This window comes from Homo sapiens, chromosome 21, assembly GCF_000001405.40.
Source record: "Homo sapiens chromosome 21, GRCh38.p14 Primary Assembly".
In the NCBI taxonomy this organism is placed as follows: Eukaryota; Metazoa; Chordata; class Mammalia; order Primates; family Hominidae; genus Homo; species Homo sapiens.
In genome coordinates this window covers 15,542,669-15,568,638 of record NC_000021.9, presented here as the reverse complement: position 1 = coordinate 15,568,638, position 25,970 = coordinate 15,542,669, and the positions used below count along the sequence as shown (strand labels likewise).

At 38.5% G+C, this 25,970-nt stretch overlaps 2 long non-coding RNA genes across 2 annotated transcripts in view; one reads left to right on the top strand and one right to left on the bottom strand.

Moving 5' to 3' along the window:
- LOC105369302 (uncharacterized) overlaps window positions 1–25,970 on the top strand; it is a 104,389-nt gene that overhangs the window by 58,622 nt on the left and 19,797 nt on the right. The gene's annotated exons all lie outside the window — the stretch shown is intronic.
- LOC124905056 (uncharacterized) lies at window positions 2,515–5,379 on the bottom strand. The gene is made up of 2 exons (XR_007067935.1): window positions 5,236–5,379; window positions 2,515–2,732 (listed from the first exon to the last, which is right to left on the bottom strand). It is a non-coding gene; the product is annotated as an uncharacterized LOC124905056 (long non-coding RNA).

Genomic DNA, 25,970 nt, shown 5'->3' with positions numbered 1-25,970 from the left:
GCAGTTCTCTCAATTTTCTTGCTTACAATATATTCTGCAGGAATTGCTTTACTTTTTCATAATAGTTTGGTCTCCTTCTATGATTTTCAGAGCTGATACAATTTTCCCACAATTTTTGAATTCCTTTGGTCATTCCATTGGGGATTTTGGGGAGTCAGAAGTTATATGCAAGTATTCAGACCAAAGTCTGTGTTTTAAATGTTTGAGTAGATTATTATCAGGTATTACATGATAATTAACACTTTAACAAACCATTGGGAATATTTAAACACCCCTCAATTTTGTGGTTTCCAAACTCTGGTGACAGATGAGCTGCATCTGAAATACGTGGAAACTGCTTTATGAATGGTGACTCTCAAGAGTTCCAATTTAGAAGGCATGTTAAGGGTCCTTAAAATATGAGTTTTAAACCTGTTTCCAAGCAATTTTTATGATCAGCTAGGTTTGAGAGTGCTATGATGTAAATGTGTCCCCAAGAAGTTCATGTGTAAAAAAGTTAACTGTCATCGTAACAGTATTAAGAGGTGGGGTCTTTAAGAGGTGATTAGGTCAGTGAGTACTCTGCCGTCATGAATAGATTAATGTTGTTGCCTCGGGAGTGAGCTCCTGATAATAGAATCCATTTTGCTCTGTTTGTCTCTGTCTTGCAGATTCACACTCTATGTGATGCCTTCTGCCATGGGATGTCCCTCACCAGATTCTAGTGCCATGCTCTTGGACTTCCTAGCCTCCAGAACCATAAGCCAAATAAACTTTAGTTCTTTGTAAATTACCCAATCTGTGGTATTCTGTTATAGCAGCAGAAAATGAAGTAGAACATTGAGTCACTTCCCTAATCTAGACTGGCCAACTCTTTGCAATTATGATCTTATTATTCAATTTTTGATTTCAGGAACTCTTTCTCCTTTCTACTCCTAAGGATAATAGAATACATTTTAGTCTTTTGTTTATGAGAGCAAGTATACATTAATTTTTTTTTTCTTTTAGAGTTTCATGACAGTTGTTAACATAACTGGAGACCCCCTGAAGTGTGACAAGAAAAAAATTATTGCTCTAACTGTAGGGTGGTTGTAGCTACATCTGAATAAGACACTTTTGGAAAATGAGATAGTAATCCCCTACAAATTCTTTGCTGGAGTTCTTAGATCTGTAGAAGTAGTTTCATCATGCATTGTGATTATTTGGGAAAGTCCTATTGTGCCTTTTTAAGATGATAGTGTGGAGCTGATGGGGGAAAATAATCAGGAACAGCTGGAGGCTTTGAAAGTGTTTTCATGAGCAGAAAAATTCCATGCAAGGAGGGAATGCATTTTACTGGAATTTTTAAATAAAAGTGTTCTACTTCTTGAATATGTTTTTTATTAGTATTATTTAGAAATTTCAGTACTGGCTTTATTTTCTGTAATAACAAGGACAGATATACTTATTGCTAAAGATGTAGTTAACACAGTTTGGTTTTATTTGGGGAGTGGTTGGCTATTTAATCCATAATTCAAATCCACTAATATCAGTGAGAAATGTTCATACTTAGAATGACATATGAAAATACATAAAAATAAAAGGCATTTTTAAACTTTGTTTTTAACCTAGGAACTCTGCCTCTGGTATCTAAACATCTGGTTTCCATTCTCTTCGTCAAAGCTAACAGCCAGAGCCCTTAAGAAGAGAGATTAGACACAAAATCCTGATAAATCCCATTCAGTTTGAGTTCTGTACCAATAACAGAACACCATTTGTTGTCCATTTGTCTTTGGGTAAAATGGGGGAGCTTTGGGGCTAACACCACAATGAAAAAAATGATTGGAGTTTATCTTGCATTGTATTTTATTCTGACTGCAATCTGATGACACAGATATATACCACACTGTACTCTGAAATCACCAGAATAAAATTGTTTTAGGCCCTTACATAATACTGTGCTAACTAAACAATAACACCCACATTTAAATAGTCTGTGGGTTACACAGACAAACTGCAGGTTTTCTTTTAGGTTTACCACTCCCCTAGGAACTTTAAGTCTCTTTGTATCTAATCTCTGATTTCTTCTACCTCTCATTCTGTTTAAAAGTGCAATTTGGGACTCAAAACAGAAAAGCATTTGCAAGGTTTAAGGGTTTAGAACTCTACCTCTCAGGACAAAACAAATCAACAAGCAAATCTCTTGTGCAGGTTACTGCATTATCATCAAGATGAGAATCTTAACAATTTATTTAATTATAGAAGATGTGTATGAAAGATGTGTAGTAAAAGAGCTATTTAGATATAAAACATAAGTCAATGATAGGTATACAAAAGGCATATAGAACAACAGCAAGAATATGTGTTAGGTCCTGCCCGTGCTTCAAAGCCACTAAATTCTCTTAGTGCACAAATTATGCATGCACACAAAGCTACGCATGCACACATGCACACACACACACACACACACACACACACACACACACACAATGACATTTGCCACTGTATTAGTTGTATTAGTTTTCTTTGCTGGATAGAAAATAACCACTAATATAGTGGCTTGCAATAATATTAATTTATTATCAGAAATCTGGCATGCTTTAGTTGGGTTCTCTGCTCAGTGTCTCATGGATGCAATCAAGGTGTCCGCTGGCTGCATTTTCATCTGGAGGCTCAGCTAGGGAAATCTGTTTCCCGGCTCTCTTAGGTTATTGGCAGAATTCATTTTCTTGAACTTGTATGACTGAGATCCTCATTTTCTTACTAGTTGTTGGCTGAAGATAAACAAAATGTGATATATCCATATAATGGAATATTATTTGACCATAGAAGGGAATGAAATTCGGTTACATACTACAACAAAGAAGAGCCTTGAAGACTTTATGCTTTTCATATTTTCATAAGTGAAAGAAGTCAGACACAAAAGACCACATATTATGATTCCATTTATAAGAAATATCCAGAATAGGCAAATCTATAGGCACAGAAAGTGGATCTGTGGTTACTTTGGATTGGGGGATAAAGAGGTAGGAAAATGATGGCTAAACAGGTTTTCTTTTACGGTGATGAAAATATTCTAAAATTAGCTACAGTAACGGTGTACACAATTGTGAATATACCATGAATCCTTGCATTGCACACTTTAAATGATTGAATTGTATTGTGTAAGAATTATATCTCAGTAAAGCTCTTAATAAGGGAGTTATAACTGCTGAAAGGAAATCATGTTGGGTAAACAGAGGTAAAGCACAAACTTCAGGCCCCTTTCTCAAAACCTAAGTAAGAAAGGGAACCTCTTTTACAGCAGGGTAACTTTCTCCTGGCAAAATCTTTTCAATTCACTGAGAATATACATTTTTGTCTACTTTTTCATCCAAGGAGTTCCAGTGAGGACGTGTTTCTTAATCATATTGAGAAAGCTCTCGGGAAGGTGTAAGAGTGGGCTCTGATACTGAATTCCAGGAAGAACAACATCTTGTCTTTACTTTTGAGATTGCTTGCTAGTTTACTTATGCAAAGTACCTTCCTGTGGAGGGTTAGGAAGTGGGTGAAACTTGGCAATCCTTAAGCAGCTTCACAGAATCAGGATTGCTTCCGCATTGTAGCTACAAAGTCAAAGATCCAGGTTTCCTAAGAGACTGATAAGAGGATAAATGTTGTTCTGGAGTTTCGTGGAGCTAAACTGGACTAACAGCTTTAAGGGAGAAGGGAAGAGATAAGAGGCCCACAGTAATGGACACTTACAAAGGCAGGCACTTTGAATATGCTCTCACTTTAAGAAGTGTTTTCAATATTAAATAATTGCCACACCTATTTCGTGAATTAGATTATATCATGTCCATTTTGTAGATAAGAATACTGGGGTCTGGAAAGATGGTCACAGTTAGTCATGGAATTGTAAGTGAATGATGGAGTTGTATGACTCCTTGAGGCTTCATTCTCTGCCCTCTTCTCTTTTTACTCCATACCACTGGTTCTTAACTGGGGTCACTTTTGCCCCCACTATCCCCCAGGGGACATTGGGTAATATCTGTAGACATTTTTGGTTGTGACTACTGCGTGTGGGAATGCTACTGGCATCTAGTTGGGTGGAGGCTATGGATATACCTAAACATTTTATAATACACAACGCAGAATTGGCTGGCCCCAAACCTCAGTAGTGCAGAAGTTGATAACCCCAGCTTCAAACACAGCTTTGTAGCTCATCAGCTCATGTGTGTTCAGCAAGAATTCATAGTTGATTCCGACTTCTACATATGTTTCCCCAGTTCAGATGTCTGTCAAGAGCTTTGGATTTATGTATGCAACTGCCTCGTCTCCTCATTTATTCCAAACTCAAACTATTCAGTCATCATATATTGAGTCAGTATCTAGGTGTGCAACTGTGACATAAATATCGCAATTTTGGTGTACAGTTGATTTTTTTAAATCAAGGTATAAATAAGGTCCACACATTGTGATTGATAGGCATGTCTCTGATTACTCTTCTAATCTGTAGTCTTTCTCCATTTCTTTTTTATTTTTGTAATTTGTTTGTTAAGAAAAATAGGTCATTTGTCTTGTTGATTTTCTGACTGTAACCTCTATCATTCTAAATTTCCTGCACATTAGTAATTGGTCTGAAGGTTTGATTAGATGTTTAATTAGATTCAGGTTTAACTTTTTCTTTTAGCAAAATTAATTCGTAGGTAATATTATGTTCTCCTATTCAGAGGCACATAATGTCCATTGGGTTTACTTTCATGGTTTTAGCAGCTATTGCTTATCAATACCTACTCCGTTACCTCATTTATAGTTGTAAAATGGTTATGTACTAATTAAATTATTCCTTCCTCATTTATTAGCTGAAGTATTTCTATAAAGAGAAACATCCCATCTAGTATTGTTTACCCTTTGGTACAGTTCATATAGAAAAAGCAAGATAAATGCTTGAATCTTTCCCTTTATTTAACAGTTTTAAAACAATTTATTGGTATCCTTTGGTGGCAGCTAATTTGTGTTATCAAAGTATCATTATAGACGGAAGCTTATGTGATGCACTTCAATCTATTGTAGTTATCATTATTGACACTCAAATTGCCCATCTTTAACGAGAGCCCTTGGAAGCTGACTCTTTAGTCCCCTCAGATCTGGGAGTGAGGAGATTAGGAGTAGAGGCCGACCTGCTCAGCTGCTCTAAATAGAGTTCCTCAGTGTTCTGCACTGATGTTTGTCCTGTATCTCTTCCACATAAGGTTGGGACACCCTTATGAAAAGAGGTAAAAGGTTCTCTCTTACCTCTTTTTCTCTCTTGTTCATACACTGGCCTGTGGCTTCTTTGTCTATCTGATACTGTTTAATTTCTGTTTTTATGCAAATCTTCCATTTCTGAATTCCTTATTGTTTCCCATGGCTGTTATTTATTTGGCCTTTTGGATGATGCTCTTTGTCCCTGGGGGAAAAGAGGTATTTGGTAAGAGTCAGGAATTGACGGAGTCTGCTGTCTTGATCGAATCTGAGAGATCTTTAAAAAATGTGAATTAAACAATGCTGCTTCCATGACTGAAACTCTAATGGCCCACACCTGCTACAGACCAAGTCCAAACTCTTTAAGGAATTCTGTTATCCTCTAAATCTTGCTTAGCCTTGCTTCTTGCCTGACACCTTCTGCCCCCATAATTTCAGCCATGTGAAATCTCTTGCAGTTTTCCAAACATGGCACACTGTTTCTCCAGCTTATTGTTTTCTGCTGACTATGTTCTTTCTGCCTGCTCACCTGGAGTACACTCCCTTCTTTCTCACCTTTGTCTCAACTTCCCTTCCTCCTTTAGGTCTCAGTTTAGATGGTATTTCTTCCATTAGGTCTTCTTTGAATAGGGTGCATATGTCTCCTACTTTTCCTGGGAAAGTTCTAGATTATGCCTGCTTAAAAATAATTAGTGCCTTTAAATTCTTTTTAATACACCTTTTCACTCTTACAAGTGTCCCTATTTGAATAATACATTATATAATCACTCTATCTCTGAATTTACATTTCCAGAACTGTGTTATATTTCTTTTGTATGGATTTCCATGACATTTTATAATTGCATCTAGCATATTTCAGGTGCAATTATACTTTCCTATTTACTTGCCTTTGTCATGGAAAGAATTGTGTCCGGCTCAAACTCATATGTTGAAGCCCTAACCCTCAGATGTGACTATATTGGAAATAGGTTCCTTAAAGAGGTAATAAAGATTAAACGAGGTCATAAAGGTGTCATCCTGAACCCCTATTTACTCCAATAGGGATGGCACTGTGTCTGAGAGGCTGAAGAAGAGACCTGGAGACAAGGAATAAGACACAGGGTTCTTTGGGGGAACTTGCTTTCAGGGACAGTCCAGTGGCAGCGAGCTGAACAGGAGAAGTGCTACCATTTGTAAAAAGCATGCAGTTCATACAGTATTTTCACACAGTACCATCCATCTAGCAATCACTATTTAACCCAAAACAAAGGGCCTCAATCCGCTGGACAGCCTGTGTTCTAAGGGAAAGGCCAGGGTTTCAGAACTCTGAACACACATTCTTCTTAGACTACAGGGTCATTCTCAGCATATGCTTAAGTTATTGCCGACACGTGTATCTGCTGTAGAAAACGTGAGTCCCTAATGCAATAGGACTAGTGTCCTTATAAAAAGAGGAAAAGACACCAGGAACGCACACAGAGAAAAGGCTGTGTGAGGGCGCGGAAAGAATACAAGCATCTGCAAGCCAAGGAAAGAGGCCTCAGGAGAAGCTAAACATGTTGATACCGCGAGCTTGGACTTCCAGCCTCCAGAGCAGTGAGAAAATAAATTTCTGTTGTTTAAGCCACCCAGTTTGTGATATTTTATTATGGCAGCCCTAACAAACTAACACAGACTTCTTCACTAGATTGGCTTAATTTTTATATCTGTATGATCAGAATATAAAATTAATTTTTATTTTATATCCATACGATCAGTGCTAGGTACATGGTGGGCATTGTATGAGTCAAGGTTCAGTATGACAAAACAGAGCCCTTAAGAATGAAATACATTTGATCTGTGTACCCAGTTACTGTCACCTAGTTCCTAAAACCATTGGAATTTCCTGGGTAATTAGAGTGTCTTTTGTTATTCATGGACCCCCTTTGATCACACCTGTATTTATCCTAATATCTCAATTTAGGATAGAGCCCCTGGATAGCCTCAAGATGCTGCCAGTTATCAGAAAGACCAAGGGATTAAAGAATTAAAGGGTTGGAACTTTCAACCCCACCCATTGACCTGATGGAAGGTGCTGGAGATTATAGCCTATAAAAACTCTTGAACGACGAGATTTAATGAGCTTCCTGGTTATTGAACATGTGGAGGTGCTGAGAGGGTGGCAAACCGAGAGAAAGATGAAAACTGTGACATCCCCTACCCCAGACTTGTAGCCATCTCTTAAATCTAGCTGTTCATCCATATCCTGTATATCCTTTAAAACAAACCAGTAAATGTAAGTAAAGTCTTTCACTCAGTTCTGTGAGCTGTCTTAGCAAATTATGGAACACAAGGAGGCAGACTGTGGGAATCCCAGTTGCTATAGCCATTGATCAGGATTACAGGTCACAACCTGGGCCTTGCAATTGGCATCTTAAGGTAGGGCGGCAGTTTTGTGGGATTGAGCTCTTAACCTGTGGGATCTGACTCTTAACCTGTGGGATCACACAGTGTCAGAATTGATTTGAGTTATAGGACACCCAACTGGTGTCTGCTAAAGAATTGCTTGATGTGTTGAGGGGAAAAAAAACCCACGCGTTTGGTCACAGAGGCATTCTGTGTTAAGAGTGAGAGTAGAGAGAAAAATGTGGTTTTGGTTTTGGTTTGCCTTTTATAAGAAAAAATTCCAACTGGCCTTATGTAATTTTGGAAGTTGCTTAAATGGTCTAACAGAGTCTATTGTCTTTGTGCCTGATTCTGAAGTCTGAATCAGGAAGGCAGCCACCTGTGAAGAAAAGACAAAGGCAAAGTGGTGAAGAGCAAGGAGAAATTGGAACCCACGAGAATGAGCTGGAACTCCAATGGATGAGTTAGAACTCTGTCAGTCTTTCCAAACCTCCAGTTTCAATGCTGAAGGGGTGACCTTCAATCAAAGTTTGAGCCCTTTGTCATGGAACTAAATATTCACCTGAACAGGGAGTTGAAGAAGCTTGTCAGAGAGTTGACGGGGTGTCCGATAGGAGCAGAAAAACTAGGAGTGGGATCTGCCCTATGCTATTATTGGGGCTTGGAAAATAAAACTGCAAAGATTGGCACTTTGACATGCTGAGAGGCCTTAGAAGCTGCCTCAGAATCCAGGTCCCTCTAATATTGTCTTCTTCCCCCAACCCCGCTTCGTGCCCAAGCACAAGAAGGGATTCTCTGGGATTTTCTGGGATTTTCTTATTTCACCATGAAATCTTATTTCCAAAATGAACAAGATTGCCTTCTTCCTCTCCCTGAAGTCCCCCTGTCTCTTTCAGAAAAGAAGACTGAGGAATGCAACTAGAATGGATTTTTCACAAGAGAATGCCTGCTTTTCTGGCTCATTCGAATTCCAAAGACAATCATTTACAAGTTAATTTCTGTCCATTTCTTCTCCTTAAGAATCATTTGCTGTCTCTGAGAAGCATTGTCCACATTCCCCATTCTCCCCTCTCCCCTGTGAAAAAGGATATAAGCTTCTGTACCTCATTGGGTTATTGGGTAATCATTCTCCTGAGAATCACCTGTGCTATGCATGTTAAAATAAAATTGTGCAAGCCTTCTCTGCTATTGTTTTGCCTTTGTCAGTTGATTTTCAGTGAAACTTCAAAGTGCAAATAGGTCATTTCCCTTTGGCTCCTACATCTTCAAGGCAAGCCAGCAGATGGGCGCAACGTACATGAGTTGCAGTGGTGCCTAGTGGACCTGAGCAAATCTTCCAACTATTAGTTTTATTTTTTAAGGCTGCTGTTTCACTTCTACTTCTCAGTTTTTGCAAATGTCATTTGTGGCCCATACTAACTTGGAATTATGCAGTGAAGGGAAGTCTGAAAACTGTGGTTACACCTTAGCTAAGTTGACATGATATAAATCCACCACAGGTACTCAATATTATTTGTTAAATAAATAAATGATGCTGATATTAGTGACCTTATCATAGTATCATGATCCTTCTCCTAGAATGGAAAGAGCCCTTCGGACCCATTTAACCTCTAGTAACTTCTCAAGGAGCTTTATGTGTGAGTTTTGTCCTGCAGATTTTGAGGGTATTAAAATTTTACTGTGAGTGTGAAAGGAAAATACGGGACCCCCAAATCACTAAGCCAAACAGAAAAGTCAAGCTGGGAATCACATCAGGCAAACCTACCTCCCATTTTATTCCTAAATAAGATAGCTACAAAAATACAAAGTATATACCTCCCTCACAATTTGCCCACTAGGAAATTCCTTGTGGACTTCAAGATCTTCACCCTATGACAGTTCTGTTGAATTTTACTCTGACAGTGAAATAGACAGCTTATCTTTACAGGTGCAGGACAAAGGACAGAACTCTAAGTCATCCCTCTGATCACTTGAGACAAACACATATCTGATTGTTTCCTCTGATGTAAAAATGCTGATTCAGTGAGCCAGATGACAGCATAAGTGTCTATTCCTCCACACCACCGACATGTAAATTGTGTATTCAGTGAAAGGCTGATCAAAGATTCAAAAGAATGCAACCATTTGTCTACCCACACCTTTTGAAAATTTCTTTCTCTTTCCCAAATACCCACTCTTTCACCTTTAAACATTGAAGCCCTCAAAACCATCTTTGGAGAAAGGCACAGACCTGCCTTTCAGGCGTGCATCCTTAACCTTGGCAAAATAAGCTTTCTAAATTGATTGAGAGCTGTCTGAGATACTTTTTGGTTTCCATGAGGTTGGCATGTTATTACTAAAACAATAGACATGAATCAGATATATTAGACATAATGCTATAAAAAGAAGCCTGAATCATGAGAATTGGCTATAACTTTGCTTTATAATTTACCAAATTACAGAGGATTGGTAAAGGAGATTACCAAGTAGTGATCATTATTGCTTCATATTTACCCTCAAACTAATATAATTACAGATGTAGGTGAGGAAAAAATCGTTTTCTCTATCCATCTTAGATTCTTCAGCTGGGGCTCTATAAATTAGACTGTCCAAAAACAGATTAACAAGAGAAAAACAAACAATAGTTTATTAGTGAAGTGGCATCCTTGTCTGGGGTAAATACCCGGGGTTCATCATTTTGCACTAAGAAGATTAAGAACATGGACACATGTGGGTGGGTTAAGGAGCAAAAAGTTTAATAGGCAGAAGAAAGAAGAGAGGACAGCAGCTATCTGAAGTGAGGTGTCTGAAAGGGAAAAGCCAGCCTGCAGCAGATCACAGCAGATTTTATAGGCAGGCATGAGGAGGCAGTGTCTGATTTACATAGGGCCACAGATTGGTTCTACCAGGTGTGACGTTTACATAGCGAGGGGTGGGGCCAGGGAAGGCTGGTTGCACCACCCTAATCTTATTATGCAAATGGACTTTCCACTTGGCCAGCGTCATCTTGTCTGCTTCTTACTGTACATGTGGCTGGCAAAGTGAAGGGAAGATGGAGCCGCCATTTTGATTATGCCTAGTCATAGGTAGCCTTTTCCTACTGACACAACTGCTAACATTCACCCATGCAAGCTTCCAGCTTGCATATGTATGTCTGCAGCTTGATTTTACAGGCTGCTCTTTGTTAGAAAAGAAAATGATTTGGGGGCTGCTTTTTATTAAAAGGAAAACCTTCCTTAGCCTCACTATCTGCCTAAATAATTTCTTTTTAACTCCTATATCATTAACACATGTGTTGTGCTTACACACGCGAGTACCCAGAGATGAGTGACCTACGGGGGTGGTTAGAATTTAGGATTATATACCATCTTAGACTAAAGAAAAAGGGTTTCATGTTGTGGGTGGAAGGAGGCAAGTTATGGGAAGGTGACAAGAGAAAAGAATGGCAAACAAGGGTTGTTTATTAAGATTTGTTTGCAGATTTAAATTGGTGCTTTCTCCATTGATAAGAGTTAAGAGTTGTTAAGAGTCCTCCTCTTCCTGGTATGAGGGAGACACCTCTATAAATGGAGACTTCCCCAGTAAAAGGAAAATCTGTGCTTTATTTTTAGAGCTTTTCCTGCTGCTGGTTTTTAATGGCTTTTAGCTCAAAATAATCCATAATCCAAAGAGGCATATTTTAGGGTGGCATACTCTGGTATTCCTCAGAGATTACCTGGCTTGTGAATTAGCCAATTTTGTTTCTTCATTGTCTATTTATCTCTTCCATTTACTGATTGCCATTTTATTCATTCATGTAGAATGAATGTAGAATTCACGTAGAATGAATGTACATGAATGATTTCATGTAGAGTTTCTGAAACACATAATATACTGTGACATTAAGAGATTTTGTTCTGTAGATTTTCCAGGGACCAACAGTTTGAAGTAGAACAAGAAACACCGTTGCTGTTGATTGCTTATATTGAAGGACAATATATGTTTCATCACAGCAGCTCACAAAAATGATTTATTGCCATAGTATCTAAACAACGCTCTGTAACCAATAACTTTAGTTTTTAGATAAACGATAATGAGCATGAACAGTGTTCAGTCCCATTCTCTCTGGGACACTTGAACCAGCTCAGCTGTTATACAAAAGCACCCTGAATATGGGAGATTTTTCTTTTCTATTTTCCAGGGTTGCTTAAGAAACTAGACCCATTTTTTTAAAAAAATTTATGTTATTATTATTATACTTTAAGTTTTAGGGTACATGTGCACAATGCGCAGGTTAGTTACATATGTATACATGTGACAGGCTGGTGTGCTGCACCCATTAACTCGTCATTTAGCATTAGGTATATCTCCTAAAGCTATCCCTCCTCCTTCCCCCCACCCCACAACAGACCCCAGAGTGTGATGTTCCCCTTCCTGCGTCCGTGTGTTCTCATTGTTCAGTTCCCACCTATGAGTGAGAATATGCGGTGTTTGGTTTTTTGTTCTTGTGATATTTTACTGAGAATGATGATTTCCAGTTTCACCCATGTCTCTACAAAGGACATGAACTCATCATTTTTTATGGCTGCGTAGTATTCCATGGTGTGTATGTGCCACATTTTCTTAATCCAGTCTATCATTGTAGGACATTTGGGTTGGTTCCAAGTCTTTGCTATTGTGAATAGTGCCGCAGTAAACATATGTGTGCACGTGTCTTTATAGCAGCATGATTTATAATCCTTTGGGTATATACCCAGTAATGGGATGGCTGGGTCAAATGGTATTTCTAGTTCTAGATCCCTGAGGACTCGCCACACTGACTTCCACAATGGTTGAACTAGTTTACAGTCCCACCAACAGTGTAAAAGTGTTCCAATTTCTCCACATCCTCTCCAGCACCTGTTGTTTCCTGACTTTTTAATGATTGCTGTTTTAACTGGTGTGAGATGGTATCTGATTGTGGTTTTGATTTGCATTTCTCTGATGGCCAGTGATGGTGAGCATTTTTTCATGTGTTTTTTGGCTGCATAAATGTCTTCTTTTGAGAAGTGTCTGTTCATGTCCTTTGCCCACTTTTTGATGGGGTTGTTTGTTTTTTTCTTGTAAATTTGTTGGAGTTCATTGTAGATTCTGGATATTAGCTCTTTGTCAGATGAGTAGGTTGCGAAAATTTTCTCCCATTGTGTAGGTTGCCTGTTCACTCTGATGGTAGTTTCTTTTGCTGTGCAGAAGCTCTTTAGTTTAATTAGATCCCATTTGTCAATTTTGGCTTTTGTTGCCATTGCTTTTGGTGTTTTAGACATGAAGTCCTTGCCCATGCCTATGTCCTGAATGGTATTGCCTAGGTTTTCTTCTAGGGTTTTTATGGTTTTAGGTCTAACGTTTAAGTCTTTAATCCATCTTGAATTAATTTTTGTATAAGGTGTAAGGAAGGGATCCAGTTTCAGCTTTCTACATATGGCTAGCCAGTTTTCCCAGCACCATTTATTAAATAGGGAATCCTTTCCCCATTGCTTGTTTTTCTCAGGTTTGTCAAAGATCAGATAGTTGTAGATATGCGGCGTTATTTCTGAGGGCTCTGTTCTGTTCCATTCATCTATATCTTTGTTTTGGTACCAGTACCATGCTGTTTTGGTTACTGTAGCCTTGTAGTATAGTTTGAAGTCAGGTAGCGTGATGCCTTCAGCTTTGTTCTTTTGGCTTAGGATTGACTTCACGATGCGGGCTCTTTTTTGGTTCCATATGAACTTGAAAGTAGTTTTTTCCAATTCTGTGAAGAAAGTCATTGGTAGCTTGATGGGGATGGCATTGAATCTATAAATTACCTTGGGCAGTATGGCCATTTTCATGATATTGATTCTTCCTACCCATGAGCATGGAATGTTCTTCCATTTGTTTGTATCCTCTTTTATTTCATTGAGCAGTGGTTTGTAGTTCTCCTTGAAGAGGTCCTTCACATCCCTTGTAAGTTGGATTCCTAGGTATTTTATTCGCTTTGAAGCAATTGTGAATGGGAGTTCACTCATGATTTGGCTCTCTGTTTGTCTGTTATTGGTGTATAAGAATGCTTGTGATTTTTGTACATTGATTTTGTATCCTGAGACTTTGCTGAAGTTGCTTATCAGCTTAAGGAGATTTTGGGCTGAGACAATGGGGTTTTCTAGATATACAATCATGTCATCTGTAAACAGGGACAATTTGACTTCCTCTTTTCCTAATTGAATACCGTTTATTTCCTTCTCCTGCCTAATTGCCCTGGCCAGAACTTCCAACACTATGTTGAATAGGAGTGATGAGAGAGGGCATCCCTGTCTTGTGCCAGTTTTCAAAGGGAATGCTTCCAGTTTTTGCCCATTCAGTATGATATTGGCTGTGGGTTTGTCATACATAGCTCTTATTATTTTGAGATGCATCCCATCAATACCTAATTTATTGAGAGCTTTTAGCATGAAGGGTTGTTGAATTTTGTCAAAGGCCTTTTCTGCATCTATTGAGATAATCATGTGGTTTTTGTCTTTGGTTCTGTTTATATGCTGGATTACATTTATTGATTTGCGTATATTGAACCAGCCTTGCATCCCAGGGATGAAGCCCACTTGATCATGGTGGATAAGCTTTTTGATATGCTGCTGGATTCGGTTTGCCAGTATTTTATTGAGGATTTTTGCATCAATGTTCATCAAGGATATTGGTCTAAAATTCTCTTTTTTGGTTGTGTCTCTGCCCGGCTTTGGTATCAGGATGATGCTGGCCTCATAAAATGAGTTAGGGAGGATTCCCTCTTTTTCTATTGATTGGAATAGTTTCAGAAGGAATGGTACCAGTTCCTCCTTGTACCTCTGGTAGAATTCGGCTGTGAATCCATCTGGTCCTGGACTCTTTTTGGTTGGTAAGCTATTGATTATTGCCACAATTTCAGAGCCTGTTCCTTGACACATACACCCTCCCAAGACTAAACCAGGAAGAAACTAGACCCATTCTTAAGATCTTCCACTTGGTCATTGTTGGAGGGGACAGAAAGTATATCCTTAGGCTTAACCAACCAACCCTTCAAAGCTGGAATATCAAACATGTTAGCTACTTTGGCTAAATGTCTGCAGTGGGATTCTTAGTTAAAATGTTACTGATATATAGGCAGACTTTATTTAGCCAATTAAATATCAAGCATCTTTTTAAAAAAATATAAATAATTGCAGGTTGCTAGTGTTCTTCTTTTAATTGACTTTGACTATGCAGAATGATTTTTTAAATCTTTCCAGCTGCTTCATTAGAATTGAAGAGAGAGAAAGTGGCCCATCCCGTCACCCTCCTCTCTCATTGTAATGAAGTAAAATTCACAAAACCAGAAATGCAAATGGATTTTCTTGAGTCTTTCCTTCTAATACACTGATTAGCATGCTAACCAACTCTTTTTCATCAACTACTTCCATATAGAATCATGCATGGAAACTGTACATGGACTTGGCAATTATGTGAGGGGAATTTGCGTCCTCCAAAAGCAATGCAGATAGCGGAAAAATGAACTGAAATAACAGGAATGAGAAAATGGGAATAAATCATAAATGATAATCAGAAAGATCCTGATAAACCAGTAGCAAGGATCTTACAAGTCTCTAAAGGTTCATAAAATTCCTTGATTGCTGCCAGCACAGCAAAGAAAGGTACTGTATGAGCGTCATCAAGTCATGCTTCTTTGTGTCTCCTATTATTGCAGCTCATCTCTTTCTCCTCCCAGCTCATCAACTCTCATAGCTCTTTGGAAATTAAAAGAGCTCTCTCTCCATGTTCTCTCTGGTTACTGAAAAACAGAGACTCACTCAAACCACTAGAGGGATCTCTCTTCTTTGAAAAGAGAGAGAGAAAAAAGTAAATTGCATAAGCTATAAAGTTGGAATGACACAAGAAATCATCGAGCAAGAGAGAAAATGAACTGTTGCAATTTTCAAAGACATTTCAGTGTCTGTGGAGGGGAATCTCCCACTGTGGAGTCTGGCCTTGCCAAGGTCTTGAGAGAGATCCCTCTGGCAAATATGGATCCTGTTGCACCAACATGCTTTGGATGACTCTAGTGGCCTTCAGTGGTAGCTGGGATTACAGATGCCCACCACCACATTGGCTAATTTTTGTATTTTTAGTAGAGAAGGGGTTTCACCATATAGGCCAGGCTGGTCTTGAACTCCAGACCTCAAGTGATCTGCTCGCCTTGGCCTCCCAAAGTGCTGGGATTACAGGCGTGAGCCACCGCACCTGGCCTTTGACTTCTATATGATAAAAATTTAAAGCTACAGAAGGAATTGCCACCTCAGAAAACTTTCCTCACTTGTCTTCCAGAATGCCTTACCATTCTGTGGCTAAAGACACAGCAAACATTTCCCTGATTTATTTGCCAGCTGGCCTCCTGTTGGGTTCTACCAAGAAACACTAGAGTGACTGGAACACAGGAAGAAAGGAGGAAGGACCTCCTGTTTCCTGTTTGTTATTCTTGCTCTCACCTGCATGGTGACAGCTTTCTCCAGCAATAACATTTCATCCCTGCAGAAACAGTTATCTTAAGAGTGCCAGTTGGTTTCAATGTCCAACTGCCTTCAAATTCCCAAACCAGTTTGTTGCTCTCCTTCATAAGAACTAACCACCGTCAAGCATTGCCTACTCTTTAGAAGTTTGAGTCCTGCCAGTTGTGTTGGCTTATGCCTGAAATCCCAGTGAGGCAGAAGCAGGAAGATAGCATGAGGCTGGGAGTTGGAGATCAACCTGACAATATAGTGAGACACTGTCTACAAAATAAAATAATGATAATAATAATTAGCCAGGTGTGCTGATGCCTGCCTGTAGTCCTAGCTACTCAGGAGGCTGAGACAGGAGGGTCTTTTGAGCCCAGGATTTCAAGGCTGCAATGAACTATGTTCATGCCAATGCCACCCACCCTGGGTGACAGAGCAAGACCCTGTTTTTTGAAAAAAAAAAAAATCCAAGTCACAGTTATGTAAGTCCTCTTTTGTGAGATCCTAAGCTTTAATAGTCTAACCTCTTCTTTTTTTATTCTTCCAGCTGTATGAGAAATAGCTGCTTGTTATTTCATGCTAACCTTTAGTGTTTTCTGTTGCTCTTTCATCCCTCAAACATCTGTATAACCAGCCCCTATATTAAATCCTCCTTGTTGGAGTCCCTAGTGTGGTTTCTGTTTTTTTCTGACTGCACCTGACTGATAAACTGTGAGAAGACTATAGCAATAAAAGATCTATGTAAATAGAGTGGGGGTTCCCCAATAATTCAGTTGGAAAGATCAGGGAAGAATTTATGAAAAAAATAGGATTTGCAAAAGACCTTGAATATAGGTAGAATTTAGAGGTATAAAGATGGGGTGAAAAAAGACTTTCAAAGCAGGAAAACATTATAAAAATATTTAATAACAGGGAACACAAAATATAATTCAGCTGGAAATCATAATATGTAAAAGTTAATATTTAATAATAAACTACCAAAGGTAAAATTGAATCAGATCTTAGTGTAGGAGTAGGGGGAGGGATCTTTAATACCAGGCTCAGAATTGCTGAACTATTTAAGGCTTTTGAGCAGGAAGGTTGCAATATTAGGAAGTCAGAGAAGGAAAAGAATAAAACGTATTATATATTTTGAAGATATGTAGTCGATATCAGTATGTTCTGTGTTATGCTGGCAATAATAAGAATGCCATATTCTATTTTTCTAAACCAAATGTACTCTGTGTCTGAGTTCCCAATTATCTGACCGGCAGGACATCCAATATCAGTCATTACTTGAACTCATTTCTTACCTTCATGTAAGAAGGTAGGTGAAACTTTATTCCATATTAACTTACTGTGAATCAGTCAGTTTAATTCACATTATTCTGTGCGAACAGGGGAGGTCCCTGGTTCTTAGTTCAAGATGGTCAACATTGCTTTCTTGTTCCTTTTGTTTCTGGGTGGCTTGGTTGACAACTGCAAAACTGTTCTGGTTGGGTTCCAGAGATGCCTTGTCATATGGTCCTCTTTGATACAAGAAATTTGCACATGTTTACCTATGTAATAAACCTGAACATCTTGCACATGTACCCTGAAATTTACTTAAAAAAAAAGTTGAAGAAAAAAAAATTTGTAGCTGCTTTCAAGGTCAGGGTGTTTACATTTTAGCCTCTTTGGGTCTCTACATTTGTCTCTCATCAGAGGTTCTGCCACCTTCTAAGTTCTGGTTGGGAGTAAAATATAGGTTTTGCATGTTCCTTGTGGTAGGTAGAATAATGGTTTCTCAAAGATGTTACATCCTGATTCCCAGAACTTGTGAATGTTATATGATATAAAAAAGGGGAATTAAGATTGCAGATCAATTAAGATTGCCAATCAATTGATTTAAAAGGAGATTATCCTGAATTATTTGGGTGGGCTCAATGTAATCATAAGAGTTCTTAAAAGTGGAAGAGGGAGGCAGAGAAAAAAGTTGGAGCGATGTCATCTCAGAAGCACTGGACTTGTTGCTGGCTTTGGAGATGGAGGTAGAGGACCATGAACCAGGACATGTGAAGCTGGTGAATTCAAGGAAACATACGTTCTCCTCAAGCCTCCAGGAGAAACATAGTCTTGCTATCATCTTGATTTCAACTCAGGGAGAACACTGTTGCAATTCTAACCTACAGAACTGGAAGGTAATAACTTTGTGTTGTTTTGAGCCACAAAATTTGTGTCAATTTGTTACAGCACATATAAGAAACTATTGGAACAGTTATGACAGAGATCATATGGTTGACAAGTTCTTAAACATTTATTATCTGGCCCTTTTCAGAAAAAGTGTACTGTCTTCTGTCTTGGAAACAAAATTATCGCTAATCTTAGGATGAGTATGTGAATAGGGAGGGGGGTGCAGACTTTTTTTTAATTGTTATTTTACAGTGGCAATAAGCATGACAGACAATATCTCAATAGAATAACTCATGGTTGGTGAGGTAAGCTACATTGTGGCCCCAAAGATATCAGGTCCTAATGTCTAGAACATGCAAATATTGTAAATGTTACCTTACTTGGAAAAAGGGTCTTTACAGATGTGATTAAGGATCTTGAGATGAGAAGGTATACCTGGATTAGCTGGGTGGGCCCTAAATGTCATCTTGAATGTCCTCATAGGAAGATCTAAGAGGTGGAGGGAGATCTGCTATACACATAGTGAAGGAAGTGTGAAGATAGAGGCAGAGATAGGAATGATAGCGCTGGCAAGTCAAGGAATGCAAGGAATGCTAGCAGCTGCCAGAAGCCAGAAGAGGCAAGGGATGGATTCTCTCCAAGAGCCTCAGGAGGAAGCACAGTCACTGTCGCTTTGATTTTGGACTTCTGGCTTCTAGAACTGTGAGTACATAAACTTCTGTTGTTTTAAACCACCAAGGTGGCTATGATAATTTCCCATAATTTGTGGCTATTTGTGATTATTTTTTACGGTAGCAATAGGAAACTAATATAGGTTGGGAGACCATTTGGGAAGATGATAACCTTTTCATTGGCCCATATGATTGAAGTCAGTAGAAATTTTGTCTGCTTATGAATTTCAGATACATTACTTCACATGATATCTGTCTTTGGTGGAAGAAAGGCAGGGAAATGCAAAAGAACATGATTTGGGGACCTACGGACTTCATGGGTATTCAAATCATTTACAGTGCATAAATGATTTCACAGTAATGCAAAGTTCTCAGAGTAAATCACTTTGATTGTCACTTCTGTCTGGCACAAGGAAATAATCAGCACTTCAAAATGAGCCCTTGGCTGTTGTATCATTGCCTCAGTAACTGCTTACAGAGCACATGTGATGCCAGCTTACTTCTCTTCTCTTTGTATTATCAACTTTTCAAAATCAATATTTATGTACATATATAGATTATACTATACTATTTTACAATACCTTATGTCATATGTGTGTGTATATAGATTTAAGATGGTTGTCCCACTTCATTACCACATTTAATGTATTAAATATGCTAAATATTTAAATATTCTGGCATGCATCAGTGAAAACTATTTACGACTGGCTTTCTTATAGATTGGCATATATTATTTGAACTCTTAACATCTATAGTATAATTTTCTAGTTTTAATATGTACTATTCTCTCCTGAGGAAGCTGTATATCTTGGTAAAGACATCAATCATAAAATTACCTATTAGGAGTTTGGCTGTTTAATATCAACATTCCCAAAATTAATCCGATGATTCATTTTATTGTATCAAATTAAAGGCAAGTTCTACAACTTATATGCAAGTGTTAGTAATCCCTTTTTGGGGGCAGCATACAGCTCTCTTGCCACATATCAAATTCTCCCTGCCTCCCCTCTTTGTGTAGCCACAGATATGAAAGCTAACTCTGCATAGGCTTGACTTCTCATCCCATGGGTACCCTAGCAGGACAAGGACTTGGGTATACCAGATGTGCCACTTACTCCCTGCCCTGGGGTCTCTCTGAGGCTGAGAGTGTCTGTTGCCGAGGTTCATTTCATCACACTTCTCCGAAAGCCCTTCCATATGAGCAGCCTCACGTGGTGGCCAACTCAACAATGCATCTTTGTGAAGACCCTCTCTTATTTCCTGTTTACCACCCTCCCTCCATCACACTACTGAATAGTCCAGTCAGGCGGCAGCTTTTCTCTTAGCCTTCACTTTTTGGGAAACCCAGGCTAAGGTGATAGGATACCAAGGTCAAGAGAAAACACCAGCAAAGATTAATTTTTAAAACCTTTCATTGTAGGTATTTATAAATAAGCACAAAAGTATAGAGAGGAGTAAAAGCGACCCTCATGAACCCTTCACCCCATATACCGTTTCCCCAGTGTTATCTTTGAAAGACATTCCTAGACAAGGTTATTATAGAGGGGAGATTGAAAAATAAATACATATATAATTCTGCTAGTTATAACTCAATTCCTCATGATAAAGATTATATCATTTTAGATTCTTCTTACCAATAAAGTCTAAGAGAGCCTATTTCCCTGTAGTCACCTTGATAGAGTAGGTTGTCAAACTTTTGGATTTCTGCCAATCTCATCAGTGTACTTTTAATTGCATTCTTTTATTATATTAGAGATTGAGCATATTGTTGTGTTTATTTGTGGGTTCTTTCCTCGTATCTTTTGTCCATTTTTCTATAGGGCTATTAGCCTTTCTCTTCTTGTTTTCCAGAAGGTCTTCTACATAAGAGGTACTAACACTTTATTTATGATATAATTTGAAAATACATTTATCCAGTTTTTGTCATTTAACTTTTATTTTTATTTGATGTTTTCTTGAATTTTTTTGAACATGTGTTTACAATGAGGGCCTTACAAAGTAATCACTGGAGAAGAGATTTGCATCAGAGATTATGCTAAATAAATATTGAGTGAATTAGTTCTTATTCTAAGAGCATTTTGACTTCATGAAAGGATGTATAGAAAAGGTGGTGGATATGATCAGAACTGTTTTTTGGAAAGGTCAATCTGACTTTTGGTGGAGTAGTAGAACTACTCTCCATGAATTCAACTGTTTTAATTTTAGCTACCACAAATAAGGGAAAACATGGGAAGTTTGTCTTTCTGTGGCTTATTTCACTTAACGTAATGACCTCCAGTTCTATGTTGTCGTGAATGACAGGATCTCCTTTTTATGGCAGAATAATAACCCATTGTGTATATGCACCATATTTTCTTTATCCATTGATCTGTTGATGGACATTTAGGATGCCTCCAAATGTTGGCTATTGTGAATAGTGCTGCAATAAATATGGGAGTGCAAATATCTCTGTAATATACTGATTTTCTTTATTTTGGGTATATACCTAGTAGTGGGATTGCTGGGTTGTATAAAAGCTCTATTTTTAGATTTTGTGGAAGCTTCATACTGTTCTCCATAGTGGTTGTACTAATTTACATTCTCACCAACATGTACAAGGGTTCCCTTTTCTCTACATCCTCGCCAGTGTTTGTTACCGCCTGTCTTTTGGAGATAAGCCATTTTACCTGGAGTGCAATGATATCTCATTGTAATTTTGATTTGCATTTCTCTGATGATCAATGATGATAAGCAGCTTTTAATATGCCTGTTTGCCATTTGTATGTCTTCTTTTGAAAAATATCTATTCAGATATTTTGCCTATTTTTAAATGGATTATTAGATTTCTTTTCTTATAGAGTTGAGTTATTAATCCTTTGTCAGATGGGTAGTTTGCAAATATTTTCTCTCATTCTGTAGGTTGTCTTTTCACTTCGTTGATTGTGTTCTTTGCCGTGCATAAGCTTTTTAACTTGATGTAATCATATTTGTCCATTTTTGCTTTGGTTGCCTGTGCTTGTGGAGTTTTACTCAAAAATAATTGCCCAAACCAATGTCCTGGAGATTTTCTTGTGGTACTTTCATAGTTTTATGCCTTAGATTTAAGTCTTTAATCCATTTTAATTTGAATTTTGTATATGGAAAGAAGCATCTAGTTTCATTCTTCTGCATATGGATATCCAGTTTTCCAAGAACAATTTATTAAAGAGACCGTCCTTTCCCCAGTGTATGTTTTCAGCACCTTTGTCAAAAATGATGTCATTGTAGATGTATGAATTTGTTTCTGGGTTCTCTATTCTGTTCCATTGGTCTATGCGTCTGTTTTTATGCCAGTAGCATCTCGTTTTGATTACCATAGCTCTGCAGTATGAGTTGAAATCAGGTAATATGATTCCTCCAGTTTTGTTCTTTTTGCTCAGGATAGCTTTGGCTATTCTGGGTCTTTTGTGGTTCCATATAAATTTTAGGATTTTTTTTATATTTATGTGAAGAATGTTATTGGTATTTTGATAGAGATTCCATTGAATCTGCAGATTGCTTTGGGTAGCATGGACATTTTAAATATTGATTCTTCCAATTGATGAACGTGAAATATCTTTCCATTTTTTCTGTGTCATCTTTAATTTTGTTCACCAGTGTTTTATAGTTTTTATCGTAGAGCCCTTCCACTTCTTTGGTTAAGTTAATTCCTAGGCATTTAATTTCATTTGCAGCTATTGTAAATGGGATTACTTTCTTTATTTCTTTTTCAGATTGTTCACTGTTGGCATATAGAAATACTGCTGATTTTCATATTTTGATTTTGTATCCTGCAACTTTGCTGAATTTGTTTTTCAATTCAAATAGTTTTTTTGTGGGGTCTTTAGGTTTTTCCAAATATAAGATCATATCATCAATGAACAAGGATAATTGGACTTTTTTCTTTCCTATTTAGATGACCTTTATTTCTTTCTCTAGTCTGATTGCTCTAGCTAGAGATTTCAGTACTATGCTGAATAATAGTGGTGGAAGTGGGCATTCTTGTTGTGTTTCATATCTTAGAGGAAAAGCTTTCAGTTTTTCCTAATTTAGCATGATATTAACTGTGGGTCTGTCATTTATAACTTTTATTATGTTGAGGTAAGTTCATTCTATACCAAGTTTTTTGAGAGTTTTTATCAGAAATAGATGTTGAATTTTATCAAATGCTTTTTCAGCATCAATTTAAATGATCTCATGGTTTTTGTCCTTCATTCTATTAGTTTGATGTATCTCATTGATTGATTTGTATATGTTGAACCATCCTTGCATCTCAGGGATAAATTCCAGTTAGTCATGATGAATGATCTTTCTAATGTTTTGTTGCATTTTGTTTGCTAGTATTTTGTTGAAGATTTTTGCATCAATGTTCATCAGAAATATCAGCCTATAGTTTTCTTTTTTGATGTGTCTTTGTCTGGTTTTGGTATCAGGGTAATACTGGCAACAGACAATGAGTTTGGATGATTTCCTTCACCTCTATTTTTTTTTTAACAATAGTTTGAGTAGGATTGGTATTAGTTATTCTTTAAATGTTTGGTAAAATTTTGCCGTGAAGCCTTTGGACCCCAGGCTTTTCTTTGTTGGGAGACTTTTATTATGGCTTTGATCCTATTATTTGTTGTTGGTCTCTTCAGGATTTTTATGTCTTCTTGGTTCAGTCTTGGTAGGTTATATGTGTCTGGGAATTTGTCCATTTCTTCTAGATTTTCCCATTTATTGGCATATAGTTGCTCAGTTGCTCATAGTGGGCTCTTATGTTCTTTTGGATTTCTGTTTTATCAGTTATAATGTCTCCTTTTTCACCTCTTATTTTATTTGTTTGGCTGTTCTCTCCTTTTTTCAGCACCACTGGGATTGTGCTGAAGCCAGCACAGCACTGGGTCTTGCCTGAGGCCTGCTCTAACCACTGCCTGTACCACCTATGTTCGCTCAAGGCCCTAGGGTCCTACAATCAGCAGGTGGCAAAGCCAGCCAGTTTTGTGTCCTTCTCTTCAGAGCAGTTAGTTACTCTGGGCCCCAGGCAGGTCCAGAGATGCTGTTTGGGAGCCAGGGCCTGGAGTTGGAAGCCTTAGAAATCTACCTGGTGCTCTTTTATATTGCGGCTGCGCTGGCACTCAAACCATGAGATGCAGTTCTTCCCGCTCTTTTCTCCCCTTTCCACAAGCAGAGGAGCCTCACCCTCAAGGCCTATGGTATGTACTATCTGGTTACTGCTGCTGATTATTCAGAGCCCAAGGGCTCTTTAGTGATCAGGTAATGAATTCTACCAGGAGTGGGTCCTTCCCTGCAAGGCAGTAGATTCCCTTCTGGCCCAAGGTATGTCTGGAAATGCCATCCAGGAGCTAGGGCCTGGAACAGGAGACTCAGGACTCTGCCTGATGCCTTATACTAAAGTGGATGAGCTGGAATACAAGCTGCAAGACAAAGTCCTCATTACTCTTCTCTCTCTTCTCCTCAAGTGAAAGAAAGGGGTCTCTTTTGGAGCTGCAAACTGTGCTGCCTGAGGTTGGGGGAGGGGTGATGCGAGTACTGCCTTTGCCACCCTGACTGGTCATGTGCCCCTCCAAGTCCACTGGCTCTTAGGCCAGCACAGCAGTAGGACCTGCCTAGAAGTTGCAGTCCTTGTGACCTAGACAGGATTTAGAGTTAATTTAGGGCTGTGTGCGGTGGCTCACACCTGTAATCCCAGCACTTTGAGAGACTGAGGTGGGTGGATCACCTGAGGTCAGGAGTTCGAAACCAGCCTGAACAACATGGTGAAACCCTGTCTCTACTAAAAACATAAAAAATTAGCTGGCCGTGGTAGTCGGTGCCTGTAATCCCAGCTACTTGGGAGGCTGAGGCGGGAGAATCTCTTGAACCCGGGAGGTGGAGGTTGCAGTGAGCCAAGATCACAATATTGCACTCCAGGCTGGGCAATAAGAGCAAAAAACTCCATCTCAAAAAAAAAAAAAGTTAATTTAGAACCCCAGAGCCCCTTAGCCCATGGTGATGAGGCTTGCTGAAACTCAAGCTGCGACTGCTGAAATGGACAATTCTTCTCTGGATAGAGCTGGTCTAAAGACTCCCTTTGTGGGCATCCCCTGAATTCTGCCGGGTGTTGGCAGCACTGAGTTTCAATGCAAAGTTGCACAATCACTGTGCTTTCCCTCCCATAAGTGCACAGATTCTCTCTCCACACCACGCGGCCATTGCTGGGGGATGGGAGAGAGGTGGTTCAGCCATTCAAGACTGTCTTTTCCACCTTCTTCAGTGCCTCTTTCGGCAATATGAAGTTAAAACTAGGTACTGTGATCTCTCTCCTGATTGTTGGTTCTTATGTAGGTGCTTTTTCCGTGTGTAGAGTGTTGTCACATTTGGTGTTCTTATGGGAAGAACAATTGGGGGAGGCTTCTATTCGTTATCTTGCTCTGCCTTTCCACCTCCCTATTTCTTAATTCCTCCTTTAAAACACACTGTCGCCTCCATACAAATCAAAGCTGAGTTCAGGTCAGGCTGGACTCTTTTTATTGCAATAATATACTAGTGATTAATCTATCCATACCACTTTAACAAATTTCCAATTTTGCTTATATTTGGCAAGATTTATAAATCAATCTAAATATATATTTGAACAAAGGTAGGCACATGAATCAAAGGCCCCTTTGGGATTAGATCCACGGGAAAATTCTACTACAAATGTGGTCCTTCAAATGGAACACATTTGACTCTGTTGACTATAGCTAGAAATAGAAGTCAGACCAGACATAGGACTGGTGGAAATTGAAACAGTCTGCCCATCGGCAGGTACTAGCAATAGAGATGAAAATTCTAACTAAGGGCTTTGGAGTTGCCAGATGGAGAGGCAATGGATGGACATCCCAGATGGAGAGAGAAACTTGTAGAATATACTGGTTTAGTGATAATTCCTAAAACGTCAATTTGTAAATAATTTGGAAATGTTTAAATTACAAGAGCCATCAGATCAAACAAAAGCTTTCAGTTTTCCAACAAACTGCATGGGATGGGATGAAAGGAATAAGGCACAAATGAGAATTATTAGAAAAGGTCAAACAGCATAATATTTTTGTATGCTATTTTGACAAGTTATAGCTGCACTATACCAAGAAATGTGGCAATTTCATAGGAAGTCATATATACA